This window comes from Homo sapiens, chromosome 2 (genome assembly GCF_000001405.40).
Source record: "Homo sapiens chromosome 2, GRCh38.p14 Primary Assembly".
Classification (NCBI taxonomy): domain Eukaryota; kingdom Metazoa; phylum Chordata; class Mammalia; order Primates; family Hominidae; genus Homo; species Homo sapiens.
The window spans coordinates 65,020,150-65,030,607 of record NC_000002.12 but is presented as its reverse complement, the minus strand read 5'-3'; the positions used below and the strand labels follow the sequence as shown (position 1 = coordinate 65,030,607).

The 10,458-nt window shown below is 47.5% G+C and overlaps 1 protein-coding gene across 4 annotated transcripts in view; it reads right to left on the bottom strand.

The window, feature by feature from the left end:
* SLC1A4 (solute carrier family 1 member 4) overlaps positions 6,743-10,458 on the bottom strand; it is a 35,387-nt gene continuing 31,671 nt past the window's right edge. For all 4 annotated transcript variants that reach the window (NM_001348406.2, NM_001193493.2, NM_001348407.2 and 1 more), the window contains one exon: positions 6,743-9,696. In NM_001348406.2, coding sequence (NP_001335335.1) covers positions 9,462-9,696 — 235 coding nt within the window. In that variant the 3' untranslated portion in view covers positions 6,743-9,461. The remainder of the gene's footprint in view (positions 9,697-10,458) is intronic.

Below are 10,458 nucleotides of genomic sequence, written 5' to 3'. Positions count from 1 at the left end.
TAGGAAGAGAAGGCACCTGTGCTAAGAAAGGGATGTGAAGCGGCCAGTCCAGGATTTGCAGCCTTGTTTGTGTGTTACTATAGAATCGCCTGGGCTCTTTTAAAAAATATTTATTTATTTATTTATTTATTTATTTATTTAGAGACGGAGTCTCTCTCTTGCCCAGGCTGGAGCGCAGTGGCGCAATCTCAGCTCACTGCAACCTCTGCCTCCAGGGTTCAAGCGATTCTCCTGCCTCAGCCTCCTGAGTAGCTGGGATTACAGGCGAGTGCCACCATGCCTGGCTAATTTTTTTTTTATCTTTAGTAGAGGTGGGGCTTCACTATGTTGGCCAGGCTGGTCTTGAACTCCTGACCTCAGGTGATCCGCCTGCCTCAGCCTCTCAAAGTGCTGGGATTACAGGTGTGAGCCACTGCACACGGCCTGGGCTCTTTTTAAAAATGCCAATATATGGCAAAAAACAAAACAAAAATAAAGAGGAAAGTGGGGAGAAGGCCAGGGAAGTTTGGAGGACCCCAGGATTCCACTCACCTTACTGACCCTAGTGGTGTATTGGCTTTTTTAAGACAAGGTCTCACTGTTTCCTAGGCTGAAGTGCAGCAGCATGAACATGGGTCACTGCAGCCTTAACCTCCTGGGTTCAAATGATCATCCCACCTCAGCCTCCCGAGTAGCTGAGACCACAGGCACGTGCTACCACACCTGGCTAATTTTTAAAATTTTTTTGTAGAGATAGAGTCTCACTATGTTACCCAGGCTAGTCTCGAACGCCTGGGCTCAAGTGATTCTACTGCCTTGGCCTCCCAAAGTGCTGGGATTACAGGAGCGAGCCACCATACCAGGCCACTTTCCCCTTTATAAAAATTTAAAAAGAAAAGAAAATCCCAGTATTCAGGCACAAACCCAAACCAGTTTAATCAGAATCTTTGTGGGTGGAGTGCTGGTGGGTTGGTTTTTTGTTTTTTTTTTTTAGCGTGGATGAATCTAATGAGCCTTCAACATTGAGAACCAGTGGATAGGGCTTCTACTCTGCCCTATTTATCCTTGTGAATGTGGCTTTTCTTCCTCTTTCCACAGGCATTGTCTGAGGCTTTCAAATAAGTAACCTCGTGGGTTTTTGTAGTAAGTAGCATTTGTGGCTGGAGGCCAGCTTCCCATTCAAAGACTGTCTCTTCTTAAAGAATTCTTGATTCTTGGCCAGGCTTGGTGGCTCACACCTGTAATCCCAGCACTTTGGGAGGCCAAGGCGGGCGTATCATGAGGTCCGGAGTTTGAGACCAGCCTGGCCAATATGGTGAAACCTCTTCTCTACTAAAAATAGAAAAATTAGCTGGGTGTGGTGGCACACGCCTGTTGTTACAGCTACTCAGGAGGCTGAGGCAAAAGAATTGCTTGAACCTGGGAGGCGGAGGTTGCAGTGAGCCGAGATCGAGCCACTCCACTCCATCCTGGGCAACAGAGCGAGACTCCATCTCAAAAAAAAAAAAAAAAAAAAAAAGAATTCTTGATTCTTAATGGAACCACAGGTAGTCAGCAAGATGAAAAATGGAAATGATGATTCTGTAATTGTCCATGTTACAACAACCAGAGTATGAATTGCATTGCAGTTTTTTTGTTTGTTTTTTGTTTTTGAGACATTGTATTGCAAGACACCAATAGAGGCACTTACAGAGTCTCGCTCTATTGCCCAGGCTGGAGTGCAATGGTGTGATCTCAGCTCACTGCAACCTCTGCCTCCTGGGTTCAAGCAATTCTCCTGTCTCAGCCTCCTGAGTAGCTGGGACTACAGGCGTGCGCCACCACACCTGGCTAATTTTTGTAGAGATGGGGTTTCACCATGTTGGTCAGGCTGGCCTTGAACTCCTGACCTCAGGTGATCCACCTGCCTCAGCCTCCCAAAGTGCTGGGATTACAGGCGTGAGCCACTATGCCTGGCCTGCATTTCAGTTTTATCTGGGGAAAGATCATCTCCTTGGCTGACAGAGTGTAAACAAGAGTAGATTTCCCCTCAAATGAGGTCATCCATGGCCACTGTAGTTAGAGGCTTTTGGGAAATTACCTAGAATGGAGTTTTCCAGAAAAGACCATGAACCAGGGTGCCCACAGATGCTGAGGGTACTAGGTCTGTGATTCTCAAACACTCACATGCCCAAGTATTTGCCAGGAGCTTGTTAAATGCAGAATTCCTAGGCTGCCCACAGTGCTGCTGACCCGGCAGTTGTCAGCCTTGGCTGAAACCCCTGGGCAGCTTTGAAAATACTGGTGCTTGGGTCCCACCCCCAGAAATTTTGGTTATTTGCTTTCAGGTATGGCCTGGGCATGGGATTTTTCAGGGTTCCCAGAGTAGTGTAATATGCATCCAGATTGGGAACCACAGGCAAGAAAAGTGCCACTGTGGACTCTTATTCCTGGTCTGCTGTCCCTCTTGGAAAGTCTTCCTTTCCAATTTTCCTTCACATTCTATCAGCAGTGGAGTAGAAGAGACTTAGAACTCAGGGACCGTCTAGTCCAACCCCGCAGTTCACAGATGAGGAAAACAAGGCCAGGAAGGGGAAGTGGCCGGCCCAAGGACACACGGCTACTACCAAGTCAGCCCCAGAGTACATCCGGCTCACTCTCTCATGGTCCTGCTCCCATCATGCAGCCTACTGTGGAACACAGGGAATTTTATCTGAAGGAAAACACTACAGTAAAACATTAGAAATAAGGAATGATAACGATTCAGTCCTCTAAAGATTTTTAAAGTTCTTCATCCATTTGTCACTTCATACTATCTTCTATATGTATAAAGTGGTGCTGGGTACCCAGGGGCAATGACTCACGTTCCCAGCAGGCCACGGATTTACTAAAAATGGGTGTGCTTTTGTCCTTGACTCTCACTCTTAGGGACAGATTGGATTTGGGTTTTGATGGAAGAGCTGAGCTTCCAGGGAAGTATTTTAGCAGTTGATGGTTGCTTTCTTTCTTAAATCTCCATGGATATGTATACATCAGGTATCTTGTATATATCAGGCTAATGCTTTTCAGTGTGCTTTAGTGAAGTGGAAATGGGTGAGATCAGGGATTCCTGGACAAGTGACTCCTCAGCTAGCACTTTATTGAGGAAGAGACCCTGCTATGCCCACTTTCTCTGTGTGTAGGGGTGTGGGGTGTGGGGTGTGGGGGGAGGTTCTGCTAATGGGGGCTGCTCCCCTGGGGAGCCCTACAAGCCCAAGTCATCCTAGGGCTCGGCAAAGACTTGCCAGAATTTCAGTACCTCATTTTGTTGCAGACCAAAAACTGATAATAGGAAAATCATCCATGCGTCCCTGCTATGAGTGTCAAGCCACCTGTTCACGTACGTCATCCCAATGTCCTGGGGACATTTTTCTGATTTAAAAGCAAATGAAAATATTTTTGTAGGGCTGGAGCAGCGGCTCATGCCTGTAATCTCAGCACTTTGGGAGGCTAAGGTGGGACAATCGCTTTAGCCCAGAAGGTGGAGGCTGCAGTGAGCTGTGATCATGCTACCGTACTCCAGCCTGGGCAACAGAGCAACACCTTGTTTCAAAATAATAATAATAATTTTGTGGGCCCCTAAAAGCATTGTGGGCCTCAGGTCCTGCGAGTCCTGTGCCTCATGGGCAAGTCAGCCCTGACGGGGTGGAGGGAAACACCCACGCTTGGCCTCTGTCGCTCATGCTGCTAATGTGCTGGGGCACTACCCATGGGCCGTACAGAAACAGGCAGTGGGCTGGCTGTGGCCTGTGAGCCATAGTTTGCTGACCATTGCTCTAGATGACCAAGGTGTAATTAGCTGAGATAATTTCTGATGGCTCACAGGACAGCCAAGAAAAGACATGGTCATCCAAAGTGACTGGTAACCGCTACAGAGAGTCTTCCATTGGGCCCTAATTACCACCCCGCTCCTACACCCCTGGTTTTTTCTTCTCACTTTGTGAAAAGTAAAAGCGTACACTTATTAAACATAAATGGCTTGTAATCCCAGCACTTTGGGAGGCCAAGGCGGGCAGATCACTTGAGGTTAGGAGTTCTAGACCAGCCCTGGCCAACATGGCGAAACCCCGTCTATACTAAAAAAAATACAAAAATTAGCTGAGTGTGGTGGAGCAAGCCTGTAATCCCAGCTCCTCGGGAGGCTGAGGCAGGAGAATTACTTGAGCCCGGGAGGTGGAGGTTGCAGTGAACCGAGATGGCACCTCTGTACTCCAGCCTGGGTGAGAGAGCGAGACTCCATCCCCCAAAAGCAAACAAGCCACATAAGTGTATAGCTTAATGAATTATCACAAAGCAAACACCCATCCAGATCAAGAAATAGAGCATTCCCAGCACTTCCACAGGCTGCTCTCCCCGCACCTAAAGGAAACTATGAAACTGACTTCTCCCCTGTAGATCAGTTTGTTGGGTTTATAACACTGTGCTCTTTAGCATCGGGGCTCTTTCAGGCCTGACCATTGTTGTACTGTGTTTCTGGAAGGACTGAATGGAGTGGGCTACCACTCACAAGATCTCAGGGCCATGCTTTTGTCATGAGATTGGTTGTCTTAGAGGGGCTTGGAGGTGAGGAAGGCATGTGAGCAATCCAGCTAGCCAACCCAGGGTGCTCTGAGGACTAGAGAGAGAAAAGGTTCATTGATACCACAAAGTGCATAGCCACAAACACAGATGCTTTGTTAGAGGAACACCACAAATGGAAAAATCATGACTAGTGAAGCTGATTAAGGAAGTTCCTCTAGACTGCAACCCTATTGCTTTGAAACTGATTGGCCCATAACTATTAAAAGGGAAACAATTTATAGGGAAGACAGATTCAACATGCTTTACGTTCGAGTTGAGAATCAAAGCTTTTAACTGCAACTGACCCCACAGTTCAGGGCTGCCATGTTATGGCCAGGAAGGCTATGTACCGCACAACTCCTGCAAGCTCCATTCGCACAGAATACATGAATGGTGCCCTGCGGAACTGCATGCTGAGGCAGCCCCGCCTATGTAAGCATAATCAGTTGCCTAGATTCAGACCACACTTTAACTTACAATGTTGAACTTCATCAGTTATACATGTTTGGGTAAAAGGCTCTTTTTTTTTTTTTTTTTTTTTTGAGACCTCCGCCTCCCGGGTTCCAGTGATTCTCCTGCCTCAGCCTCCCAAGTAGTTGGGATTACAGGCACGTGCCACCCCACCTGGCTAAATTTTTGTATTTTTAGTAGAGATGGGGTTTCACCATGTTGGCCGGGCTGGTCTTGAACTCTTGACCTCAAGTGATCTGCCCACCCTGGCCTCCCAAAGTGCTGGGATTATAGGTGTGAGCCACCGCGCCCAGCCAAGGCTTTTCTTTTTTTAAAAAAAAACTTTTTTTAAAAAAAATATATATATTTTTTGAAACAGACTCTCACTGTCACCCAGTCTAGACTGCAATGGCATGATCATGGCTCGCTGCAGCTTTGACCTCCCAGGTTCAAGTGATCCTCCTACCCCAACCTCTGGAGTAGTTGGGACTATAGGTGTGCAGCTAATTTTTTATGCACAGCTAATTTTTAAATTTTTTTTTATAGTGACAGGGTCTTGTTTTGCTGCCCAGGCTGGTCTCAAACTCTTGGCCTCAAGCAATCCTCCTGCCTTGGCCTCCCAAAGTGCTGGGATGATGGTGTGAGCCACTGCACTCGGTCTCCCAATTTTAAATATGAGACTAAGCCATGGAGAGGTTATCATGCCCAGGGTCATGCAGCAAGCAAGCAGCAGAGCTGGGAGTGGAACCCAGACAGCCCATGGTCCTCCCTGCTACATCGCCTGTGCTATTCAGACACAATTTACAGTTCCCGTGAGCAGGTTCAAGTAGCTCATCAGATCAGCGCTCCTTCTGATCCCCAGGGAAGAGATGGTTTGAGTGTAGATTTGCTCCTCTTGGTCTGGTTACATCAGAAAACTGACTCATCAAGTACTAATCCCAACCTCCAAACACTCTCCACAACAGAGAGTCAAGGCAACCACACTCCAGGGTAAGAATCCAAATCGTTACTCCTAGCAGGCCCCATCAGGCCCCTGATCGGTGTGAACTCTCTCCTCATCCTTTGGGGATTGCCCAGAAATGAAAACCAGTTCCTGTATTATATGAAGAGCTGGAAATGTTCAGGTCAGACAGGGGATCTGTTTCTTCAGAGGTTTCCACTCTGTTTGCAGGATAATTCCTATTATAAGAGGTGTCTAGATTCCCTAATGTTGCTGGAATGTGGTGTCATTGAAAACAAGATTATATAAAAGCATGGGCGAGGTGTGGTGGTGCCATAGTAGAGGCATGGACAACTGCTCTCTTTCAGGGACTTTCCCAGAATTCTAGGGCCTGGGGCTTTCTTCCTGTTGTTCCTACTTAATGCTTGCCTTACAGTAGATGCTCAGTTAGGGCCTGTTGACCTAGTCGTTCTGACAAGACATAACTTTATGGAGGTATGTGGCAAAACCACACACTTTTTACAAGAGCCCTGCTGGTGTGGAGTGGGAAGCCCCTGAGCAGCTTGACGCTTCCCAGTTGCAAGCAGGTGGCCGCAAAAGGATCAGCGACAGCAGCTCCGGCGGTAGCACTGCCCCCTGAGCATGCCTGCCCTGACTTAGGGGCTCGTGCCTGATGAATGGAGCAAGGAAAACAAATCCCTTTAGTCACCCAAAGCCCATCTCCTAGAAGAGCAACAGCTCCTCCATCAGCAAGTGCCGCTTCAACACACAAGAAGGGAATAAAGGAACTGCAGATTCCAGTGGAAACACGGTATTCATTTCTGAGGACTGTGCTAGGTTTTAAGGCAATTGTCACATGTACAAAACAGTCAGATGAGCAGTATCTGAACAGATTTACCACAACATGTTAGAAAGAGAACAGCAGGGGAAATGTTTTCAGACAAGGAGATGTGAGATTTTCCCCAGTCACGTAACCCCTGGTCTACCGACTCTGTGGACTGAAAACCAGGAAGATAGACAGCACATTCTCTCTTCTCGCCTCCAAGGGGAAGGGCCACCTGCACACTCTCGGAAGCACCCTTCTCCAGACCCAGACACGCTTCTTACTGCAGGGCCAGGCCAGGACACAGGATGGTCGGCCAATGAGTCTTAAGTCCAGCTCTAATTTCACGCTTTATGGCTTTGTGAAATTCATCTTTAGAAATGGGAAAATCAAGATACCACAGACATACAACTTGTAGTTAATAGTTAAGTTCCCCTCTATCCAAACACAAACTTGCTTGGCTTGGAGCTAAAACTATACACACACGCACACACACACATGCATATACACAACACACATGTGTGTATAGATATACATATGTGTGTGTGTGTTGTGTATATATATATGAAGGAAGAAAAAAAGATTTACTGAAGCCTGAAGAATAGTGAGTGTTCATTTACCATTTGGAATCAAACAATGTGATTGTTTCCCTTGAAAACAGAAGAGTATCAGCAACATGCTCTACCCAGCGGGGAAAAGTTTCCAGTTTCCTTTGCACGGTTCCTGGTCCCTTTTGGCTTCACAGGAGACTGGAATGGCTTAGCTGGTTTAAAGAGAGCTGGGCTTTCCCCCTGGCTGGGTCAACTCTGTGTCCCATGGCTCTTCTTCACCCTTTCTGCTCAGGCTCATGTCCCCAGTTTTAAGAAGGGGGTGTGGCTTGATGGTCTCCGTTCCATCTACCCATTCTCATCTCAATGGTACACACATCCATAAGCGTGTGCCCCTGTCTGTAGGGCCCAGGTGACACATAGCAACAGGGAAAACAAGGGAGTGAAGGAGGCTGAACACTGGGGAGCTTTAATGGCCTGTTACAGGGTGGCAGAAACAGTGGCTGGGTCTGGGAGTCACAGCAAAATCAGGCGCCCAGAACCATGGTGGAAGGTGGGGTTGCTAGTTCATGAAAACTTGAAGGACATTAGGAAGAGGCGGCATTTGATGCTGTCAAGTAACTACACACAGAACAAGGGCATGATAAAAGTCCTAATGCACATAGAGAACAAAGCCCTGCTCAGAAATGCTGTCCTCACCAGCAGAAAGGACTCTGTGGAGAAAGCTGTCCCTTACATAAAAAAGAAGAACATACTGGGTTAGCACTTGATATCCAAGAAGTGAAATGGTCGTTTTCGAAGATTAACAGTTTGCTTCACCAAATCCCTCTGAGGTAGGTAAGAGGCAGGTGACATTAGCCCCATTTTACAAATGGGGTAAAGTGAGGCCCCAGGACCTGTTACATCACGAATATGCATCAACAGCCACAAACAGCACGCTCTCAGATCTTCCCCTTCACTTAGCTTAGAACCGTGTCAGCAGGTAATTGGAAAAACATGGACCATTTCGCTGATAATTTTAAACTTGGATGTACTGGCAAGAAAGGGCTCTATATTTTGAAATCAGCCAAAGCCAGGGGACCTGGGAACCTGTGAATGGGGGTACCCCACTCCAATTAGTACATGGTTTTCTCTGGGGTGGTGGTGGTTTTGTTTTTGCTGCAGTGCAGCATTTTACAGAGTGTCCAGTTGAATTCAAATAATAGATGATAAATCAACAAGGGTCCTGAATGTGATAACTACATCACACCTCCCCAGGGAAGGAGGCCCATCTCTGGCCTTTTGCCAAATCAGCGTGAATGGAGAAAAAGCCAAAGTGTTATCAGAGGCCCAGGCCTCTGGAAGGAAGCAGAAAAGTGCCCCAGGGCTGGGATGCGAACTGGGACAATTGTATGTGAAACCTGTCCTGTCCTGATTAGATTAGAGAACCCTCTGCCCCGCTTCTCCCCCACAAGGCTGCATTCCCTCTCCTTTTTTCTTTGACCTCAGAATCTAAGTTGTTTACCTAAGGCTGTGGACCAGAGACCACCACAGTGCTAACACCCACCTGGAGTATTTCTAACTTGACAATGTGCGGCACCTGCAGTCTCCCAGAACCCAGGGATCAGAAGCTATCCACACCTAGCTATAGCACAAACTCTTTAAACACCTGAGTCCCAGCTCAGCAAAGGCCAGCCATGGCTAAGAATTTGAGCATTTTTTCAATTACTGCAACTCGAGGCAATGCGACAGATGACTATAAACCCCCTTGGTTTGCTCAGAAAACACCTGATGCAGAGCTGACCGGGGAGAGTGAAATACATCTGCATTTTTTCCAAGATGTAACCACACAGGACCCTGTGAGTCCATGATTTCTTGAGCCTGGCAGCTCAAGGGGTTGTTTCCAAACAGATCCCTGGTGTACACACAGTTGCACCTGGACATGGATCAAGCCGAATGTCAGAGTGTCCTTGTCCTTGGTAACCAGTTCCGGCTGGGGAGCCCAATGCCAGTGCCGAGAGGTAAGCCTCAGGCCAGCGACTGGGCCAAAGCATTGCTTGGGAGGGTAAAAGTTGGCAAGGGCAGTGCCCTGTGTCCATGACTGGCGGCTGGGTGAACAGGGTGGGACATCACTGCTGGCAGGCAAGCCCAAAGCCCAGCCCCATCACAGAACCGACTCCTTGGATTCCAGTTCTGGGGCACTGGCCACGGGGCCAGCGGGGTTCTGGTGTGTCACCAGGGGCGATGTCTCCTCCTCAGACTTGCAGTTGGGGATGGCTTCCACTTTCACCTCAGCAAGTTCCTGCTCGCCTTTCTTTGTTGCCTTCTGATTCAGGTGGTGGAGAATGCCTGCACCCAGGGCATCCCCTTCCACATTCACCACCGTGGTGGTCCGGTCCCTGGTGGGAAAAGAAGAGGCAGCTATTATATCTACTGCTGGGCGATCGGGTCCTGTCACAGGCAGCCTGGATGCCGAAGGAAAGTCATGATTGTGAGGGGCCCTGTTGCTTCCTGGAGAGCATGCTTCTAAGGCATTGGCTTTACCTTATTCTAAATTGATTTTCTTTAAACACTTTTTATTTTTATAGAAAGAATAAAAAAGAGCATAAAGAAGCAAACAAGCCACTCACCCCTAGTCCCCAACTGAGTGAATCTGTATGCCCATTTTAATCTATTTCCTTCCAGTCACCTTTCTATACACGTATTTTATATGTATTAGACACCATAATTAAAAATCACACATAAGCCAGGCACAGTGGCTCATGTCTGTAATCCCAGCAATTTGGGAGGCTGAGGTGGGAGGACTGTTTAAGGCCAGGAGTTTGAGACCAGCCTGGGCAACATAGTGAGATCCTATCTCTACAAAAAATAAACAAATTAGCTGGGCATGGTAGAGTGTGCCTGTAATCCTAGCTACTCAGGAGGCTGAGGTGGGGGGATTGCTTGAGTCCAGGAGTTCAAAGCTTCAGTGAGCTATGATGATGCCATTGCACTCTAGCCTGGACCACAGAGTAAGACCCTGACTCTAATAAGTAAACAAATAAACAAACATATTGGGATAATAGTGTGGATACGGTTTTGTGTCTAGCTTTTCTTCCACTGAATAATACACTGTGGGAGTTTCCCTTCTTTTTCTCATTTCAACGCTACTTTACTGCGGA